Source organism: Homo sapiens, chromosome 11, assembly GCF_000001405.40.
Source record: "Homo sapiens chromosome 11, GRCh38.p14 Primary Assembly".
Taxonomy (NCBI): Eukaryota; Metazoa; Chordata; class Mammalia; order Primates; family Hominidae; genus Homo; species Homo sapiens.
In genome coordinates, this window is record NC_000011.10 from 111287867 (window position 1) to 111310028 (window position 22162).

The 22162-nt window shown below is 43.6% G+C and overlaps 1 protein-coding gene and 1 long non-coding RNA gene across 16 annotated transcripts, besides 1 other annotated feature; one reads left to right on the forward strand and one right to left on the reverse strand.

Moving 5' to 3' along the window:
- COLCA1 (colorectal cancer associated 1) lies at nt 5523–17182 on the reverse strand. 6 transcript variants are annotated; one of them, NR_169237.1, is made up of 2 exons: nt 16962–17182; nt 5523–10800 (listed from the first exon to the last, which is right to left on the reverse strand). It is a non-coding gene; the product is annotated as a colorectal cancer associated 1 (long non-coding RNA). The 6 variants fall into 6 exon arrangements; NR_169241.1 differs by lacking the exon at nt 16962–17182 and adding an exon at nt 12279–12366; NR_169245.1 differs by lacking the exon at nt 16962–17182 and adding an exon at nt 12077–12170.
- On the forward strand, nt 10680–20869 carry POU2AF3 (POU class 2 homeobox associating factor 3). Of its 10 annotated transcripts, XM_017017196.3 has the most exons (6): nt 10680–10722; nt 12661–12755; nt 14554–14604; nt 17062–17116; nt 18528–18757; nt 20203–20869. In XM_017017196.3, the coding sequence occupies exons 1-6, from the start codon at nt 10716–10718 to the stop codon at nt 20569–20571; spliced, it is 807 nt and encodes a 268-aa protein (XP_016872685.1). In that variant the 5' UTR covers nt 10680–10715; the 3' UTR covers nt 20572–20869. The 10 variants fall into 10 exon arrangements, with proteins under 10 accessions (XP_016872685.1, NP_001258387.1, NP_001258386.1 ...); NM_001271458.2 differs by lacking the exon at nt 14554–14604; NM_001271457.2 differs by lacking the exons at nt 10680–10722; nt 14554–14604 and adding an exon at nt 11058–11192.
- Nucleotides 11620–11819: a silencer, noted in NCBI's record as "silent region_3894". NCBI's record gives its function as "represses an Ori minimal core promoter by ATAC-STARR-seq in GM12878 lymphoblastoid cells {active_cell/tissue: GM12878}" and the evidence as "EXISTENCE:reporter gene assay evidence [ECO:0000049][PMID:35858748]".

A 22162-nucleotide genomic window follows, 5' to 3' on the forward strand; every position in this document is an offset into this window, starting at 1 on the left:
GAGTGCCACCAGAAATGCTTGGGTAGTGAGCTTTCGTTCACCTCATCCTTTCGGCTCCCTCCAGGCAGAGCATTCTTCAGGGAGTAGATCAAGAGTGAACGCGTGGGGCTCTCTGCTCCTGGGCAGCACTGCCAGGCCCCCTGCCCCACTTCCTCCCCCTCCACCAGCTCCTTTGGGCAGCCTGAACTTTGCTTTGCTTAGTGCTTGCTCTTCAGTGAAAAGTGGCAACATTCACAGTGCAAGAAAGGAGCTGTTCTTTCCTAAATCCAGCATGACTTGCAACCTCAGTCTTGGTTCCCAATATGGCTGGTAGAACCATCTGTCATTCAGCAGTTACTCATACCTGAAGAGCAGGCCTGTGCATCAGAAAGAAGAGATCTGGCCCTCTCTGCAGATATAGAGGTCTTCACAAGGGTCTCAGGGTCATTTTCCTAGATTGGTGTTGTAAAGTTTAAAATGATTTGTCCTCTACTGCTTACCATTTTACTGGGTATCAGTAACACAGTAGTGGCTGTGTAAATCATGAATATGTGTCCACATAACTTTAACTTTCATGTGATTATGACTCTGAATTTTTGTTTGTTTGTTTTTTGTTTTTTTAATTATTATTATACTTTAAGTTCTAGGGTACATGTGCACAACGTGCAGGTTTGTTACATATGTATACATGTGCCATGTTGGTGTGCTGTACCCATTAACTCATCATTTACATTAGGTATATCTCCTAATGCTATCCCTCCCCGCCCCACCCCATGACAGGCCCCGGTGTGTTATGTCCCCCTTCCTGTGTCCAAGTGTTCCCATTGTTCAATTCCCACCTATGAGTGAGAACATGCGGTGTTTGGTTTTTTGTCTTTGCAATAGTTTGCTGAGAATGATGGTTTCCAGCTTCATCCATGTCCCTACAAAGGACATGAACTCATCCTTTTGTATGGCTGCATAGTATTCCATGGTGTATATGTGCCACATTTTCTTAATCCAGTCTATCATTGTTGGACATTTGGGTTTGTTCCAAGTCTTTGCTATTGTGAGTAGTGCCACAATAAACATACTTGTGCATGTGTCTTTATAGCAGCATGATTTATAATCCTTTGGGTGTATACCCAGTAATGGGATGGCTGGGTCAAATGGTATTTCTAGTTCTAGATCCTTGAGGAATCGCCACACTGTCTTCCACAATGGTTGAACCAGTTTACAGTTCCACCAATAGTGTAAAAGTGTTCCCATTTCTCCACATCCTCTCCAGCACCTGTTGTTTCCTGACTTTTTAATGATTGCCATTCTAACTGGTGTGAGATGGTATCCCATTGTGGTTTTGATTTGCATTTCTCTGATGGCCAGTGATGATGAGCATTTTTTCATGTGTCTGTTGGCTGCATAAATGTCTTCTTTTGAGAGGTGACACTGAATATTATGCATGTTCACGTGTTCCTTCATCTCCTAACAACTTGAAGATGCACTGGCTCTCAGACAAAGAGAGCTCAACAACCAGACCTTGGAACAGAGGTAAATACAGGGAGCACGACAATGTTTACATTCTTCTTAAAGCATCCTATCCCTTTCATAGCATTTGACTAAATTAACTTATAAAAAAGAGACACACTCAGGCCCACATATGCCTGCTAGTGTCCACTTCAGTTATCTAGTCTAAAAGGGGTTTGGGGAGTAGGGCTGGTGCTAATAATTCCAAATAATAAGTGATCTTCAAGAATTCTGTTTAGTTTGGGCTGGGCGCAGTGGCTCACGCTTGTAATCCCAGCACTTTGGGAGGCCGAGGAGGGTGGATCACAAGGTCAGGAGATCGAGACCATCCTGGCTAACATGGTGAAACCCCGTCTCTACTAAAAAATACAAAAAATTAGCTGGGCATGGTGGCAGGCGCCTGTAGTCCCAGCTACTTGGGAGGCTGAGGCAGGAGAATTGCTTGAACCTGGGAGGCGGAGGTTGCAGTGACCGAGATCGCGCCACTGCACTCCAGCCTAGCGACAGAGCGAAACTCTGTCTCAAAAAACAAAAAGAATTCTGTTTAGTTTGACAATGTGTCTCTGTTTTACATATATTTTAATTTGATTCTGTTTTATTGTTCAGGGAATACTTTGTTAAAAGGTGAAATCAAACTACAAAATTATGACAGGAAAATTAATTCTATTTCCTTATCCAACCCCATTTTTCTTTCAATTCCTCTCTGTTTTCTTTCCTTTCTTTTTTTTTTTTTTTGAGACAGTCACCCAGGCTGGAGGAGGGTGGAGGGCAGTGACACAATCTCGGCTCACTGCAACCTCCGCCTCCCAGGTCCGAGCAATTCTCCTTCTTCAGCCACCTGAATAGCTGGGATTATAGGCATGCACCACCACACCCAGCTAATTTTTGTATTTTTAGTAGAGATGGGGTTTCACCATGTTGGCCAGGCTGGTCTGGAACTCCTGGCCTCAAGTGACCCACCTATGTTGGTCTCCCAAAGTGCTGGGATTACAGGCGTGAGCCACCGCGCCCAGCCAATTTTCTACAACACGTGGGGACTAATCGCACCTTTTCATAACAATGTACCACGCCAACATACAAAAATAGGTGCATTCTTCTCTCCCTCACCTTCCTTAAACCTGCTATTCACTGACTTACAACTTTCCTGAGAAAGTCAGAGAAAATTAAAGAGCTCTGTTTCAACACTCCATCTCTTTCAGGTCTTGTAAGGACACAGGATATATTTAAGACTTAAAGTAATCAGAGATGGTATGTCAAGTTCAAGCCACTAAAGAAAGCTGACTAGATGATAATGCCAAAAAGAAATTGAGCACAATTTGCCCATGCAAAAGCTGCAATATAGACAATCATGCCATGAAACACATGCAGTATGTAGTTGAAGGCATTTGCATTCCTCTTACAATATTACACAAACCCCAAAAAAAGGAGAGAAGAAAACTACATCTTTACCTCATTTATTTAATAAATGATTTCAAATGATCATTATGACTTGCTATAGCTCAGTTAATAATACAATTTCATGGTACTATTGGGTAGGAGGAGAAGACAGAAGCACTCTAAAAGAAATTGCATAAAGGGAAAATAATTACTAATGCCAATAGTAAAACATACATTGACATACATACATACATATATACATACGTACACACATGTATAAAAGTATTATAGTATCTTTGTGATCAGTTTTTCGATATTTAATGTAAATATCTAAATAGTGTAGTCACAAGGAATAAAACATCAGTTATATTTAAAGTACCAAAATAATGATTGATGTCTAAGGTTTAAGTCACATTACATTATAGTGATTCTACCAACCACACACCAAAATTATACTCTTTACTTAAGGCTCCATCACTGGGTTCTGTCTACAGTATCCTCTCTATGCAAAACAATATTACACTGTTCATCTCACACACCATAGACTCTAGAGAGGTTAAGTGCAAAATCACACACTCTAGACAAAGTGGTTCTCCAGCTAAAGAGACTCATGGGGAGGACTCATGAGTGGCTCACCTCTGTGTCCCAGCACCTGGCTCGAGGCCCAGAACACTGTAGATGCTCAGTAAATTTTTGTTAGATTGAAGTAAAATTATACCATAAAGATGAGTAACTTTTTAGCCCTTGGTTCTATGGGTGACAGCTCTCTGAAACCAGTATCTGAGAGGATTCTCACCATGTTTAGTATCTAACATTAGCCATACTCTCTCCAAATTCAGACAGTAGGTGGATATTGGGCTTTAGTGGTAATATATTTAAGATGACTGGTTTAGTCTTTTTAGATACCTTTATGAAATAAAATTACTGAACCTTTGAAATAGCACAGAAAAATGTTGATATATTCATTTAGTATGTACATGTACTATGATCTGTTGCTAAGAAATCTTATAAATAAAAGTTATTTAATGTTTGATCATTATCTCTGGTGTGACTAAAACAAGTATGATAAATCAGGAACAAGAATCCCCAAAGGTCAAGCTAAATAAACATTAAAATATTCTATAGTTATTTGCAAATGATGGCATTATATTATATTTGATTTTTGATATGGAAGTATCCTCTGACCAGGTGTGGCAGTTCACGCCGCCTGTAATCCCAGCACTTTGGGAGGCCGAAGCGGAAGGATTGCTCAAGCCCAGGAGGTCAAGGCTGCAGTGAACCATCATTGCACCACTGCACTCCAGCCTGGGAGACAGAATGAGACCCTGTCTCAAAAAAGAAAAAAAAAGTATCCTCTAATTATAATCTCTGATAAATAACATACGTGCATTTGTAATATGCAATGTCATTGTTAGTACAATTAAAAAAAAGAACAGTAAAAAATGTTAGAAGTTCCAAGAGGAATGAAATGTGGACCAAACATACAGTATCTAGGAATTAGCTCTTTTGGATTAGGAAAATTGATAGATATACCTGCTAAACTTCCCCCTAAGAAAATATCTTAACAGGAATAAGCATGGGCAAGGACTTCATGTCTAAAACACCAAAAGCAATGGCAACAAAAGCCAAAATTGACAAATGGGATCTAATTAAACTAAAGAGCTTCTACACAGCAAAAGAAACTACCATCAGAGTGAACAGGTAACCTACAGAATGGGAGAACATTTTTGCAATCTACTCATCTGACAAAGGGATAATATCCAGAATCTACAAAGAACTCAAACAAATTTACAAGAAAAAAAAACAAAACAACCCCATCAACAAGTGGGCAAAGGATATGAACAGACACTTCTCGAAAGAAGACATTTATGCAGCCAACAGACACATGAAAAAATGCTCATCATCACTGGCCATCAGAGAAAAGCAAATCAAAACCACAATAAGATACCATCTCACACCAGTTAGAATGGCAATCATTAAAAAGTCAGGAAACAACAGGTGCTGGAGAGGATGTGGAGAAATAAGAACACTTTTACACTGTTAGTGGGACTGTAAACTAGTTCAACCATTGTGGAAGACAGTGTGGCGATTCCTCAGGGATCTAGAACTAGAAACACCATTTGACCCAGCCATCCCATTACTGGGTATATACCCAAGGATTATAAATCATGCTGCTATAAAGACACATGCACATATATGTTTATTGAGGCACTATTCACAATAGCAAAGACTTGGAACCAACCCAAATGTCCAATAATGATAGACTGGATTAAGAAAATGTGGCACATATACACCATGGAATACTATGCAGCCATAAAAAAGGATGAGTTCATGTCCTTTGCAGGGACATGGATGAAGCTGGACACCATCTTTCTCAGCAAACTATTGCAAGGACAAAAAACCAAACACCGCATGTTCTCACTCATAGGTGGGAATTGAACAATGAGAACACTTGGACACAGAGTGGGGAACATCACACACCGGGACCTGTCATGGGGTGGGTGGAGGGGGGAGGGATAGCATTAGGATATATACCTAATGTAAATGACGAGTTAATGGGTGCAGCACACCAACATGGTGCATGTATACATATGTAACAAACCTGCACATTGTGCACATGTACCCTAGAACTTAAAGCATAATAATAAAAAAAAGAAAATATCTTAACAGGAATAATCCAAAAGTTTTAATGGTTTTAATAAGTTAATTTAGTCATAAATGAGAGATCACTCAACTGTTTTATTTCTTAAGCTTGGTAATACAGTCATAGATTTTCATCATGGTATTCTTTATATGTTTTTGTATGCCTTAAATGTTGCACAATAAAAACGTTTTAAGTAATAGAAGAGGAACTCTTCAAGCAGTGTACGGTGGTGTTTTTCTTAAAGGATGAATTATCAAATGCTTGCTCCCCATGGAAGCCTCTTAAGGAAAAGTTAAAACTTTGAATATGTCTTATGGGAAGAGACTGACGTAGCACAAATCATTAAAAAACCTTCACCTAATTGTCTTCCTGGTCATTTTCATATGGACCAAATGTTCACTCTAGGGCCCAAAAAACATTTGTTTCCTGCATGTATTCAATCTTCTGGAACTTGATATTTCCCACGAGGTTTGGTAACAGTGTCCCAAAGTCAAGGTGACAAAAGAACTTTGCATTAATAAAGACAATTTCGAGCTGTAGTCAAATTTGGAGGGAATAAACTACCCCTTTTCCTTATACTGAAAGTCTTTTAATATGCCTGTGCCTTAGTTGAATAAAATCTCCTACGTGGGGGGGAGAAAACAATGCTCTGCAGTGTCATTTGCATACAAGACTGCCAAAATTTTTCAGTCAAAATATTCGTTTAAAACTTTAAAAAGAAATCTATTCCATTTCCATCACTTTGGGTATGGACTGGGTATAAGAAGGTTAAGGTCAAATACAGGATTTCTGAGGTCAATGGCAAGGATAGCCAGAGATCTGAAAAACAGTGATATATGAAGAACTAAAGAAACTGGATGAGGAGTCTCAAAAGGAGAAGGCTTGGGGTGAAGATGGGATGGGCATAACTTCTTCAGAGTTAGTACTGGACCTGGTCAGAGTAGCTAATCAGTATATGATTGTTGAATGAATGAATAAACCAATTAATGAACTAAACAAACTCACAATAGAAAAGCAGTAGTACAGAAGTAGGAGAAGAGAGTAATTGATAGCAGAAATCAAGGTTTACTTATTTTTGTACTCCTGGTACTTGATACCATGCCTAGTGCATAGTTGGTGCCCAATTAATACATGATTGGATTATAGCATAATCACTGATCACTACATTTAAAGCAGTCCAATAGTGGAACAGGCTGCCTCACAAATAGTGAGCTCTCGTTTCCTCTACACAGATTCTACTATGGGCCAGGATCTCAGCCAAGCAGTGGAGCCAGAGGCTGGACAGACACAAGCAGAGATTTTGGAAAAAGACTGAGTCCCTCTCAGCACTTCAAAGATCCCTTCCAACACCCAAACATCAAAAGCCATGTTATATTGCCAAGCAAGGGTGCCTATGAACGCCTGTTGAAACCCCACAACAATTTTTTCAGCCATTTATTAAAACCCCAAAGAGACTATCAGGACTTCAGGGCAAACATCCTAGAGATAGCAATGCCCCCAGCAAGAAGAAAAGAGTTCTCAGTCTGAGAGGCACAAACTGTAATCAGTGTAATTAACAGCTTACCCTCACCTCTAGCCAGGCGTTTCTTCAAGATTCTAGTGTTTCCAGTCCTTACAGAACATTCTCAAGTCAGCAGGCTACACTGTCTTAGTGTCCTTGTACAAACTGATGGTAAAACAGATAGCACCCCAAAATATTTCCACATGCACAAACAACCTTGAAACGTGTGTTCGCATATCTTACAAGCAGGTATTTTTCCAATGCCACTCACAGCCTATTAGTGGGTCATTAAATTAACTCAGTGACTCCCAACCAACATATATTTCCCATAAATAGAATGAAATGGAAAAGGTGGACTAGAATAGAAAATATCAGAGTGCCTGACATATGTAGGTATATCTTGTTTCATGAAAAGTTTGTTTTAGAAATATAAATGTTGTTATAGATACATGTGAACATGTAAAATGGATTTCTTATTGTAGGTTAAAGTCCAAAAAGTTTAAAAGCTTCTTGTAGAAAAGATCAGGAAGACAACATCAGTAGTTAAGAGCAAAGGCCGGGCATGGTGGCTCATGCCTATAATCCCAGTACTTTGGGAGGCCGAGGCAGGCAGATCACAAGGTCAAGAGATTGAGACCATCCTGGCCAACACGGTGAAACCTCCTCTCTACTAAAAACACAAAAATTAGCTGGGCGTGGTGGTGCATGCCTGTAGTCCCAGCTACTCAGGAGGCTAAGGCAGGGGAATCACTTGAACCCAGGAGGCAGAGATTGCAGTGAGCTGAGATCATGCCACTGCACTCCAGCCCGGTGACAGAGTAAGATTCCATCTCAAAAAAAAAAAAAGCCAGGGCTTTGGAGTTAGGCCTAACAAAGTCTGAATCCTAATTCTGCTACTGATATACTCAGTGATCTTGGCATGCCACTTATTCCTCTGAGCCTGTTTCCTCACCTGTGGAATGTGAATGCTATACAATATAGCACCTGATGTCCAGTAAACAATAATGAGTCTCCTATGAAGTCTTCTCTGAGTCTCCTATGAAGAACAGCCAATGCTGTGGGTACCTGGGGTCTCAGGGTTGCTCTGGGCCTGATCATCCACTCAGATCTGTAAGGAGGATTTGCAGGATCCATTTAGAAAGATCCTCCCTTACTTCCACAAGCATGGCCTTTGGCTCTTAAATACCTGTGCTGGGGTTTTGTAATTATAGAAACAACAGGAACCAAAACTCATTAATGTTGAGCTACAAACCAGAGGGAAGCTTCTTTCTCAAAACAGGGCTCAGGCCTAGAAAAATCTAGTTTTCTGAAATCGCTAGCCAGCAACAGCACTGAGATGGCCATCCCAGAAACAAGGCCAACACAGAAGCACCCATAAAGGCTGCTGGAGGTTGGGACAAAGAGATCCTTGCTGTCCTTACAGACCCCCTGACTTCCAAGGAGCTCCCCTCTCACCCAGCCTGGCCTGCCTTCTCCACAGGGTAGCTGATCGTCAGCATCATCTTCAATGGTGTTGTCAAGAGCACTCAGTGCTCCTGCCATCCCTGTCCATCTCCACATGAAAGGAGAGGTTAGCACTCCAGCCTGGGCGACTGAGCAAGACTCCATCTCAAAAAAAAAAAAAAAAAAAATAGAAAGGAGAGGTTAGGAAGGAGATGAAGCCTGAAAGCACTGGGAGGACACCCCAGCATAGGGGAACACAGAGACACGTGAAGCCAGGGAGAAAACCAGTAGTACAGATAAGAAATGGAAGAAAGCAATGACAGGAAGAGAGACAAAGAAACACAGAAAGAAATAAACAAAAATGCAACAAAGAAGGTTTTTAAAAGCAAATCAAAAAATAAGAGTATAACAAAAAGGAGGAGAGCAGCGAAGAAAAGAAGTAATGGAAGACGCTATGAGGACAAGAGACCATCCCTAGATTCCAAGCTGCTTGGTTCACTGTTCCTTCAGAGGGGGCAAGGCCTAGGCACAGCGAGGAAGAAGGCATGCAGGGAGGGGAGGTGCCATCTCCACCCCCATTGTCCTTCCCCTCCTCAGGTCTGGTCCATCAGGGAAACCTAGGACACAGGCTCAGGGGCATTTGTAGAAAGAAGTTCCAGAAGCTGTCAGATTTCAATACATCCATCCTGCCCTCCACTGCCAGGTGCCACCTCAGGTGTTCCCAGGCCTGCTCCTCTCCCCCAGAGATGTGGCTTCAGCTGCCAAGCAATTCCTATCAGTCTTGTCATTCTCAGTTGCCCTTTCCCTAAGCTCTGTGTGTTTCCCTCTGTATTTGACACATTTGGGGGCACCCCAATCTTTTTCTTGAGGCCTCTGGGGCTAAACTACACTTTTTGCATTTCTGAGAACTCAGAGAATAAACAGCAGAGGCCTAAAACCATGGACTGGTCTTGAATCCTGGAAATATCTTGGTTATTTGCAAAAGGAACCTCACCATGCCTCTCTCTTCTCTTGCTGTCCCCTTCTGTGGAGGGGGCGGGTGGCTATGAGAGGACTTGGCCTGGCACTCTCTCCCTCTGTGGACCATTCCTGTCTCCTCACCTTCCAAATCACATGGAAGAGGCACAGTAAGTACTCACAGAAGATGACCCAGTAGAATCCCAAGTCATTAGTGAGGGGCTTGGGCCTGGACCAAGGGGGAAGCCTGATCCCAAGTCCCTCCCCCTTCTCACCCCAATGGGAGAAGGCTTGAACCTAAGTCCACATCCTTTCAGTTAAAATGAGCAGGAGCCAAACTTGTCATTGTTTCCTAACATGTGCTCCTACAGCAAAAAGGCAGGGGTGGCTCTAGAAGGCGAAAAAGCAAAGAGGGCACTTCGCAGTGCGGTGGTGAAACCCAGAGTCAGAAAGTCTCCAGAGGATGAGGCTCCTGGCATCCCCAGCTCTGTGGGGAGGAGGAAAGGGTCTTAATGGGCAGTCATTCTGAGCAGAAACCCCAGTGTCGGGCCCAGGAAGAGCGGGATGAAAGGGGGAGGGAAGCCCGCTGGTAGCCAGGCGGAGCCAGAAAAATAGGAGGTGCAGAGCGAAGGCCTCTGCTAGGCCGCTGGCCTGCCACCTGGGCCCAGAGCGACTTCTTGCTGTGCCACACCCACTAGCTGCCATGTTCATTCCTCAAAACCTGAGATTTCCCCTCAAAACACAGATGGGGGATGCGGGAATCAGTCTGGCCAGCCAGTCTGGCTCCGGTGTTCATGGCCAGGGCAGCCTAAGTCACTCATGGCTTCTTAGCTGCCCTGAAGGCTGAAATACAGAGCATCTTTGAGGACATCTGCTCTATCTGTGGGAAGGAGGACAAAATGCTCAAACTATAATAAAAGCAAGGGCCAGGACCCAAAGGGGTCTCACTCCCTGTTTCTCTGGACTCTCTGTGGGGTGCCTGTGTGCAGGATTTCTGCAGAAGATAGTCCATTTTGTTAAGCCTTTGAATATTCAAATTGAAAGTATCGCGCAATCATTGATTGTCAAATCATGGGTTTCTAGAGGTTTTAAATACTTGGCATGAGGGGGAAAAAACTCAAACCTATACCCGAAGGTATAAAACATTAATTCTGTTTGTCTCCTGTTCCAGGGACCTGGGTGCAGCCGGATGCTTTGTGAAATTTTAAAAATGTTGCATCTCTGCTTCTCTCCCTGCCCCAGGAGCCCTCCCAGGCGCTGAGTCCCTGCTGCTGCAGCATCCAGCCACCGACCCAGCTCCTGCTGACCACGATGTCGGGTAACTCGGCTGCTTCTCCTAGGGTCGGGTCAGGCGGGCCAGGGGCATTTCAATCCGGGTGTGTTTCCACGGCTTTTCCTGCATAGAACAGAGAGGCACAAAGTCAAGGCATGCGAGTAAGGGCCGGGGATCCGGAGAGGACGCGAGCCACGCTGTGGCCGCTCCCACTCAGCGCCTGTCCCGGAGGGCAGAGGCCCAGAGGCCGAGTTGGCCGCTCCGGACGTCCGCGTACCCCAGGCCCCCGCCCGCCCTCCCACGTATCCACTGTTGTGTCCTGAGACACGCGGTGCGGACCCTGCGCGCCCAGAAGCTGCTACGGGGGGAGCTAGAGGCTCACAGTGAGCCTGGGACGGGGGCAGAGCGCACCGACTGCACTGAGCCGAGCTGTGGCGGTCCCTGCGCGGACCCCGAGGGGCGCCCGCTGCCCGCGGAGTCCGGAGCCGATCGGGGAACGGGGTGGTGGGGCTGCGGTAGGCTGGAGCGCGGAGAGGGCGCGGCGCCTGGGCCCTGCGGGCGGGGCACGGGATTCCCTGGGTCCGGGCTAGGAAGAGCGCAATCTCCTTTCCTGGGGAGACCCTAACTCCTGGAACCCGGCTTGAGGGGGATCCCTGCTGTCCAGCTGCGGTCCCCGCAGTGACCAGGCGAGGCGCTGGCATCCTGGCACTATCTCCAGGCGTCCAGGCTGAACGCGCGGTCACCCTCGGCCGCCGCACCCAGCGCACTTCCCGGCGCGATTCCTGGACGCACACTGCAGGGTAGTGGTCAGGGCCGGAGCCGCCCCGGACTCCTGCGGCCACCTCCACCTTGAAAGCTCGCCCGGCTCGGCTTGGCCTAACAGCCAGTCCCCAACCTACTCACTGCGGCTTTTCGGGGCCCGGGGCTGAGGCTGCCCCTGCTCCCAGCGCTCAGGGGTCCCTCCCAGCGAACCCCTCTTGAGCGCGCCCGCCACCTCCCGCGAGCCGGGGCAGTCCGACCGGGCCCCGCCAGCCCCGGGGCGGCCCCTACCGAAGGGCGGCCTCCCGGCGGAGTGCAGGGTCATCGGGAGCCCCGGACGGCTTTCCCCAGCTCGCGCTGCGCGGACTCGCCCCGGAGCCTCAGTGCGCCTCGGAGAAACGCCTGCCCCAGAAAGGGAGGGGGTAGGGAGAGAGGGGAAGAAGGGGAGAGTAGGAGCGGGGGCGAAGGAGGGAGGAGGGCAAGATGGAGCGCGGAAAAGGCGGAGAAAAGGGACGAGGGAGAGCGGGCAGAAGGCAAAGACAGAAGGGAGCGAGGGAGGGAGTTCCTCGGGCCTGGCCCCTTTACTAGGTCAGTCTGGCAGGTACCTCGCCGGCCCAGGACGGGGCTGGCCAAACCTCACCGCTTGCTCCCGGGCTGGCTTCCAGACCAAGGGCACGCAGAGGTCGGAGCCTGCCCAGAAGCCACACCTGGCCAGGCGGAGAAGGAAGGGACTCGGGACTTCCATGCTAGTGGGAACATCACAGTGGGGTGGGCTACGTCAGCCGCCATAATCAGAGAAAGCCCCCTGCCCCAGGCCTGGCCCCTCCCCAGGTCCATAATACCCTCTCTCTCGGCTGTCTGGGTCTGAAAGCCAAGGTTCCCCCGACCTAATCAGAGTGGTGGGCTCCGCTGCACTGGTCTCCATATTCCAGAGCAGAAAAACCCGTTTGCTATTGGCCTAGGACTGAGGCCCAGCCAGGGGTGGATGGCCCCACAAATTTCCACGGATTCTTTTCCTACTGGGGCTCTGAAACCTGCTCAGCTACTCTTCATTCTTTCAAGTTTGAAATGTTTGGGTTTTTACCATCCTTTGACATTTTTTGTGTGTGTTCTCCGAACTTAGAAACTTGGCTTTGGGTGCCATAGCCTATAAAAGGGGCCCCCACTCTGCACCCTGGCACCCAGACCTTGGACTCGACCACTGACTCAGTTGCCTTTCTCCAGAAAAACCGAAGGTGTATCAAGGTGTCCGAGTGAAGATCACAGTGAAGGAGCTGCTGCAGCAAAGACGGGCACACCAGGCGGCCTCCGGGGGAACCGTAAGCATAAGCCCTTCCCTCATTCCCCAGCCCATGCCAGGCCTCTTTCAAAGCTGTGTCTGCAAGGTGTGGAGGCCACTCAAGGCCCCACGCACTCACCATTCCCAGACCTGGCCTTCCTCTGCTGTTCCTATGACTTCTGTACCCAGCTGCATCCCAATCGGGAAGCTACAGAGGACAGCTGGGGCATGTTGTGGGGCTCAGGATTTGGGGGAGCCCATCCATCCCCCATGGGTGAAAGTAAAGTATAAAAAGTGCGTTGGTCCTCTGCAGGGGGAGGAGCGGCCAGCAGGTAAGTATACATCGTTTTGTTAGGAAGACAGTGGATATATGTACAGCCCTTGCAGACCCATAGAAAATCTCTCCCAGAAATTCACCTCATTTTAGGGGCCCCTTCCAGGATAGCATCTGTGTGGAACATCCTCCCTTCCCTCCTCATTCTTCTGGAACTCACCCTCTGAGATCATTTATCTGTAAATCATCAGTTACCTAAAGTATCTAGCAGAAAAGGGCCCTGTCTCTGCAGAAGAGACAGCTGGAGTACAGGACCACTTCCCTAAAATGTATCAACACCTTAAGCAGTTTCAGGTTATTACAAAATTGAACTGAGCAGTCATAAGGGTATACCCTGACACTTTATACACCTTCCTACGGTAAGTACTGCCAAAGGCACTCAGGGCAGCAACAGAACCAAATAAACTAGGTGGGGTTATTGCCCAAGAGAGGGCAGCTCATCCCTAAAAAGCCTCAATCATACAATTGCTTGGGGGTTGGTTTGGGTGTGAACATAGGATCTGACAGCTGGGGCTCATATTGCCTCTGTTAGGATTGGTCCTTCTCCAGCCCATTGGCATCTGCCCCACAACAGTTTTTGTGCCTGATGCTGTTCATGTGCAATGTGTGACTTCATGAAATAGGCCTTTGACAGCGGGACTTCTTGAAATGGGAGGGGGCAAATGATGTAGGGGAGGTAAACACAGGTTCCAGAACCAGATGGACTGGGCTCAGATCTCAGTTCCTCCATGGTGTGTATCCTCAAGCAAATTACCCAATTCCTCTTGCCTCTGTTTATTCGTCTTCAAATTGGGGATGATAGGATTTTGTGAGGGTTAATCGAGTTATTGCATACAAAGCCGTTAGAAGAATGCTTTCCACATAGTGAGTGCTCAATAAATGTTAGTTGTCATTATTTGAGAAATAATAATATTATCTGGGGAAAGCAACTAATATTCCAACCAAGGATTGAAAGCCAGCTATTTGGTAATGTTTGTTCACACCCTTTGCTCAGAGTTTAGAGTTCAGATGCGAGCCAGCTGCAATTTGGCATATACAGCACATGCAGCTGGAAAAGTAAGGACCTCCATGTGCAGAATTTCAGGTAACGCATTAACACTCCCTTACATTTCTAGAGGACTTCACAGTGGTTCTTCTTTTAAAGCACTTTTGCACAGCCACTATTTCATTTAGTTTTTATAACAACCAGCGGAGGTAAGTAGATCAGAGATCTGTACCTCGATTACAGGCAAAATTCAAAACCTTGAAGTTGCTCATGGCAACGCTAAAAGTAGGACTAAGGTCTTTTTCTTAGTGTAATATAAAAACCCTTCTGTTGGCTCTTTATGCTCTAAATTCATCATTCTGCAGATCTGACGATACTAAGCAGGAGTCTGATAGCCTCAACCCCTTCAGTTCAGAGATGGTTATATAATTAACAAAACCAGGTACAAGGGAACTGGAAAATGCTTCTGGAGAAAAACATCATCAAGACTTTCATAATAAAATGTAACGTTTCCTTAAGGAGCTTTGGTACTTGCTACAGTTCTGCTCAGCTGCACCTGGAGAGCCCCATGTGAGTGTGGCACTTCTGTTGCTGCTGGGCCCTTACAGATGGGTGTGGCCACTGTTCCCTTCTTAGCTCGCTACAGGAGCTAATGTGAGGGTAACACACTTCACTTGTGTATCTGACCAGTTTCTGTTCCCCGGAGTAGTTTGACTTATTTAAATTTTTCTGAATTCCCTCCTGAGAAATAAAGCAGGACTTCTGAACCAGTGTCTTATAGGAACAGGCAGAGTAAAGCCTGCTCTACTTTGCTTCCCTTAAGACTGCATCAGCCTATGCCCTCGCAAGCAAGCAGGTTTAACACGCATATAATTTAATTACAAAAGCCAGACGTAAAATCCCTCACTGGAAGCCATCGGATGGATCTGGGATTCTAAAGAAGCTGTGAGAGCGTACTTAGTAGGCAAGGGTAGCAGACACCAGGGGATGATGTTGCCTGCTTCTTAGTGTAGACCTTTCTGGTATAACAGAGATGATCCCCAGTTTGTTCATTTGTTGAAGGATGCCTCTGGGAAACTTTAAGCCAAGGAGAGGGTTAATTATATCAAATACTACAAAGTGGCAAGAAATCTATCTTAATTTGTTATAAAGTCAGTGTAGTATCCACAATTTAAAATTTTAAGAAGGCAATCACGAATGGAAGTTATAGGTTGAGACAGACATTCAGTAAAGAATTCAAATATTCTTCAAGCAGTGCCGGAAGAAACTGTGTGTATGCCGGATTGGAACACTCGATTTTAAAAAACTTATTTCAGCCAGATCAATTTGCAAACATGCGCATGCACGCACACACACAGACACACACACACTTGCCTTTGGGGTAAAAGGAAACTTGAGTTAGTCGTTATCAAAAGATATCATTTACCTTTCTTTTTTTAAATCATTAATTTTTTAAACAGCCTTGATGTGTTTTTATAAATTGTAGACTGTGAATTTTTGTGCTGTTTGAAATCTAAGAGAGAGTTGCCTTTCTTTGTATTCTTGGAGCAAAGTAGAAAGTGAACCCATGACTAGAAAGATAATATCAAGTAGGATATTGTAAACACACCTCAGGGAGATAACATGGGGTGGAGGCAGACAAACAGGCCAATCCGGGGGAGGAATGGAGTTAAGGAAAGCTCTACAATGAGGCAGATTTTTTAATACCCACTCCTTCCAAGTCCTTCAGCTCAAGCTGCAGCCAAATATTTGCATAAAGAGCTGGTAAAGGATTCCAGCTTCCTGGTTCATGACATTACAGCATGGATCGTTTTCAAAATTAATACTGCCTCCTGTTTCAGCAGTGGCTGCCTGCACAGCTCTCCCTGTGGCTCAGAGTATGGGAGTGAGTATGCCCTGTAACCCAAAAGAGGTGTGGTGAGCTCGGCTTCCCAGCACAGAATCACAGAGCAATACGGGTACCTTTAAACTTTAAAGCCACACCTGAAATTTAAAAAAAAAAAAAAAATCCTAAATTACTCAGTATAATTATTAATTCAACTGAAAAATGCAGGCTGCTTTACTTTGAATAGTTAAAAAGAGCAGTCTCATAAACTTTTAAGTATTTAAATACAGTAGTTTAAATAAAAGCAACTTTTATAGATAGTAGTACAAAACATACAAAGTACTGGAATAATTCCCGACCATTAACTAGAATGAAAGTAGGTTCCAACTCACCAACCACAGCTTTAAGAAAATATTTTCTATTTTAATATTTCATGTATACTAAGAACATGTGAATATTTTTAGCTACTCAGAATTAACAAAATTAAGAATTGTGTTCTTTGGGGAAACGACTCCCTAAGGCTAAGTAGCCAGATGGTATATGAAATTTTTGAGAAAAATAATTGACTAAGCCATAGATAGTTGAGATTAAATAAATGTTAGTCCTTAATAATTTTAAATCGAATAGTTTAATAGGAAGCCTTTTGCTGCATTTTCTCAAACTGTTACATTTTTACCACATAAAATTATTTACATTAATTTTTTACTAAAAATTAATCACTTTTAAAATTTAAGTAGAAGAATCTGATATTAGGAAAAAAACTCCCCAAGCAAGCAAACATAAATATTGGATCTAGATAAAACATAATATTGGTTGTATTTAAGAAGTCTGTTTTATGATTCGATTTCAGGTTTTCATTGTTCCAATGCAATTTTCCAGATTGAATCTTAAAAGGATTATAAACGTCAAAAGGCATTTTAAATTCTACACGGACTTAATACACCTACCGCAATTCTATGCACCTGTCTTTCAAATTCTATAAAATATTTGTTGACACTTTCCCTTTCACTTGTTTTTTACAATATATTTTGTACAAAAATTTGTCAAACATTGAAAAAAAAAAAGAAAGCAACTTTTTCTGAGAAGGAAGAATCTGGCTTACCTTATAGCAGAAAGAAACATAGTCCTCATCAAAATGTCTTAGCTTTCCCTTCAGAGCATTTCTTTCAGCCTGCTTCACGGTGATATTCTTGCTTTGACAGCGGTCCGGAGGCAGCAGTGTCCACCTTTCAGACCCAGTTGCACCATCTTCTGCAGGTCAGTACAGCCAGCATTAACAGTTCCCTCAAACACTCTTTCAAAAGTCCATCTCAAAAGTCTTTCAGTCTTGATTCAGGGGTTAAGATAGGCACCACCATTTAATTGGAATCCAACCAATCAGAAGGTGAAAAAGGCATAGTCACTCCACATGCAAGCCCAGCAAGAAAACAAGCATAAATGTTGTCTTCATTTCTGAATTCTCTACTCTCTGCTATATTGTCTCAAGAGTTTGTTCTTCACATTTATTCCAGTTCCTCATCGCCAAGTAACTAAACTGAACTACAAAATCAGAATTGTTCTCAGGAACTTATCTTTTTTTAGTGCACTGTTAGATGGAATACAGAACATCCCAAGACACTCAAATAATGCCTTTGCTCTGTTCCTTTAGTTTCCAGCCGACAGGGGCTTCCCTCCCCTTCTCTGTTCCCAGAAAGCAGTTCAAACAAGTGTAGGTTTTCTCAGCCCAATAAGAATAACTCGATTACATAAACACTCCTACCTCTGCTACTCAACAGCTAAGAGTTTAAGGAGGTCGTATATAAGGAAACCTCTGCCTATGGCCTCTCCCCACTAAATGTGTCACCGTAGCTTCACCTTAAAGGAACTTGAGACCTCAAGAAGAACACAGTGTCCTTTAGTCCCTTTGATGAGCACACTCTAATCCTCTCTTCTTCCAGCATTTACAGATAATTATCACAAATTGGGCCTATTAATAATAAAATGGAAAAGGAGTAATGTTTACTGATTATCTTTGTTTGATGTTTAACAACTTACTTTGATCACATCATGATGTTAACATGTTCACTGAGAAAACATTTTTGCTTTTTGTACTTCCGAGCCAATAGTGTTAATTGGTACTCTATGTTCCTGGTTTCCATGATTATCATTTGCATTCTCATTTAAATCACTTCTCAAAATTCTCTCCTCCAAACTTAAGTTACTGAGTAAGAGTGAAAAGTTCAAAAAAGCAATCACCATAAGTCAAAAGAATTATTTCCCGTAGCATCAGAAGTTTTCTCAAAGCCTCAACAACTTTGTCAGTTACTTCTGAGAGGTTTACGTGAACTGCCGGTAGGGGCTGGATGTCCATGGTTTTACAGCCCAAGAAAGGGGAAGTTTGAGCCATTATTTGACTGTGACACTTGGACACAAATTGGGTCACCATCCTTTTATTTTTGCCCTAACCAGTTTTACAGCCAGTTTCCACATTATTAACCATGTTCATTTCCCTGGAGCTTGAATTAGCTAGGACAACTAAAGAGTCAAAATTGCATTCCCGTTTACTTTTCTGGATTTGTTAAGCCCCCTTTCCCCCTAGACATAGTAAATATTCAGAGTATAGATCTCCATTCAAATCTGTGTTTTGCAATTTTTATGCAAAAACCTGCCTTTTTCCTTTCTCCTCTAGGACTGTATTTTGAGCCTGAACCAATTTCTTCCACGCCCAATTATTTGCAACGGGGAGAATTTTCCAGTTGTGTTTCATGTGAAGAAAACTCAAGCTGCCTCGACCAGATCTTTGATTCCTACCTTCAGACAGAGATGCACCCGGAGCCTTTGCTCAATTCCACACAAAGTGCTCCACACCATTTCCCAGACAGCTTCCAGGCCACCCCTTTCTGCTTTAACCAGAGCCTGGTAATTTTTCTCAGTTCTTTATATACCTGATTGTGTCTAACTATGGGGTAATAGTGCTTTGTGAGTTTGCACCATCCCGTGGGAAATCATACAAAAACTATCAGCAAGGAAATCATCCAAGGAAACAAGCAGAGAAGAATTTAAAAGTCAATGTATAGAAGTAGCCACACACTGCAGGGCATAAACCTTTGGATACACACGTAATTTAGATTTCCCAAGATTTAGATTTTTCGGCCACCAAGTAAGTTGGTGGGTAGCAATAAAAAGAGGTTCCTGGCAATATTCATTTAATGTTTTTTAAACTGTAAAGTCAAGAGACCTACTAATTGGAAGTCAGTGGTTTAAACAATGGCTCTTGGATTTTTTGATGGAATTTTGAGTTCTTGGAAATGGAATTAAGGCTGTGTATATATGGTAACAAACTTCATTTCATTAGGGGGAGGTTTTGCTTTGTTTTGTCATTGAACTGGCTCTACTAACTGATAGTTTGAGTCTGCTATAAGCACAATAACTCATTTGGGTCTGAGATGGTTAGTAAAAATGAAGCCGTAATCTTTGAAAAAAATTAAATTGGTTGTTCTCGGTGGATCTCAAATGTTTGAAAATGTGTTATCCTTCAAAATGAAGTAAGGTTTCTATTAGTGGAAACTAGTTATTTCAGTTGTCTTTTAGAGACTCACAGGTTTGTTTTGTAAACCTTAAATTGTAAAGTTTTCTTTTTTAAGGAATGTAAATACTTTTTGCCTTTGGATTGTCAAAAGTCTGTGTGGGCATCAGACTAAATTTTAGAGCGGATGGGAAATTAACTCTGCAGAATATGCACATTGTCACGGGGAAAATATGGGGCCCCAGTGACCCAGTTCCTTCCCAGCCTCCAAGTTAGGTTTTCTCAGTAACAATTGTAGACTTGCTTAAGAGAAAACAGACAGTAGCTCTCACTCCAGGGAACAAGACTTTAGTGGCGAGACAGGTAGTGACACATCTTGGCATATGCCAGGGATACTCCAAGATCCTTGAAGATCCAAGTTATGCCTTTGCATGATCACCTGATTCTTCATGGTGAGGGTGTGGAGAAACATCCAGGGTGCCACCTACAGCTTAGATTGTGGCATACAGCAGGATTTGATATGCAGGTGACTTGAAGCACAATGGGATTTTGTGGTTTCAGAACGAGCACCCTCTAAAGTAGGATTATAACAAAGGAAGCCAGTGAAGCAAGGCAATTTATTGTTTGGAAAGAAATAGGTAACTATAGATTGTGGTGTCATGAAATCATGTAGTCAGCAAATAAAATTACTTCTGCAGACTTGGGTTGGGTGTTGTTTCGTTTGATTTGGTTTTTTACCCCTCATTTTCTCACTCTGCATTGGTAAACCCACACTGTTCAGTTCTTTGATCCTGTCTAAGTTATTAAGCTCTTTGTTTCTTGGTTGTCATTTCTCTAGATCCCAGGATCACCTTCAAATTCCTCCATTCTCTCTGGCTCCTTAGACTACAGTTACTCGCCAGTGCAGCTGCCTTCATATGCTCCAGAGAATTACAATTCCCCTGCTTCTCTGGACACCAGAACCTGTGGCTACCCCCCAGAAGACCATTCCTACCAACACTTGTCCTCACACGCCCAGTACAGCTGCTTCTCCTCGGCCACCACCTCCATCTGCTACTGCGCATCGTGTGAGGCAGAGGACTTGGATGCTCTCCAGGCAGCAGAGTACTTCTACCCGAGCACAGACTGTGTGGACTTTGCCCCCTCAGCAGCCGCCACCAGTGATTTCTATAAGAGGGAAACAAACTGTGACATCTGCTATAGTTAATAGAAATTACAGTAATTCAGAACATGGCATGGGTATATCTATTTTTCTACCACGTCTAGATGACACTGCAAAATATGCAACTTGGTAACACAATATCCCAAGCACAGTTTACATGTCACTATTTCCAATTTTCTGATGCTAAGCATTCATATGAAGTCCTCAGACCCGGTCACAGCGCCACTCCTACTTTGTATGCTCATAGTTTAAATTTTTGTAGGAAACTTTCAATTGTTTTACTTTTTGTATAACGAACAAATGCTGTCTCCTTTTTTACTAATAAATAATTTTGTATTACTAACTGTTGGATTTTTTTTAATTTCCAGTAGTCATTTTTAATTGATTTGAACATTATCCATTAATTCTGGAAATTGCTAATTACTCTCAAGTGGTTTAATCTTATGGATTCATGAATTTAAAATTATTTTTATTTGGGCCAGGCGAAGTGGCTCACACCTGTAATCCCAACACTTTGAGAGGCTAAAGCGGGAGGGTCACCTGAGATGAGGAGTTTGAGACCAGCCTAGCAACATGGAGAAATCGTGTCTCTACTAAAAATACAAAAAAAAAAAAAAAAAAAAAAAAAAAAATAGCCAGGTGTGGTGGTGCATTCCCGTAATCCCAGCTACTCAGGAGGCTGAAACAGGAGAATCACTTGAACCCAGGAGGCGGAGGTTGCAGTGAGCCGAGATCGCACCACTTCACTCCAGACTGGGCGACAAAGCAAGACTCCATATATATATATATATATTCATTTAAAATGCAGTGAGACACCTTGGCTTCCATGGGATGGAGGGTAGGCACAGCTAGGATGTTGGAAAAGGGAAACCCTGCCTCACCTCCAGATGAGGGGGTACATCTTAGAGCAACATCACGAAAATGCATTTATGAACCATTAGTTTCTCTTATCTAACATTAGTCAATGAAGTGTTAGGACGACCAAAAAGCTCATGTTGCCTGCAGCTATGTTAGCCTGTAGATCATTCTTTTTCCTTTCCAAAGCATTGCTTTGGAAACTTTCTGAGCAAATAGTTGATCTTTTCCTTGAGAGCTGCCATACAGTTAATGCAGCCCAAAGTTTAGAAGTCATTATTTTCTATTTCTGAATTTTTGGCTTTAGGTTCTTAAATATACATCACTTTTGTTTACACGTTGATTTATAGTATTGACTATGTTGTTTACACTTGAATTTTAGAGTTTGCTTCCTCTGATTAATCTATTTGAAGAAGCCCAGCTGTCTTTCAAGGTAAAGAGGAGTTATTTAATCTACCTATGTGGGACTAGACTGTTGAATCTTGTTTGCTGAAGGCATTAAGGCACAGGACTTAATCTCTGAAGTGAAGTCTGAAGAGCCTTTGCCACATCTCAAGTGCCAGTACAATGGCAGCAATACTGGTACCTTCAGCATTGGCCACAGGTACCATTTTCTGAGCACGTCCTATGTGCCAGAATTATGTAAGAGTATTCTCACTCGTTATCTGATTTAATCTTCACAATACTGACAGCAAAATGAGGAGTCTGAGGCTCTGGGAAGTTAGTTCACCTGTCCAGTGTCACCCAGCCTGTAGGCACCCAAGCTTGGGTCAGAAAGATA

Bases quoted from the DNA above. Each gene is read 5' to 3' on its own strand.
- POU2AF3 (XM_017017196.3), top strand. The intron at 14,605-17,061 runs GTGAGTGTGGCA...TTGCTTTGACAG, and splicing joins CTGCACCTGGAGAGCCCCAT to CGGTCCGGAGGCAGCAGTGT. The intron at 18,758-20,202 runs GTAATTTTTCTC...TCATTTCTCTAG, and splicing joins TCTGCTTTAACCAGAGCCTG to ATCCCAGGATCACCTTCAAA.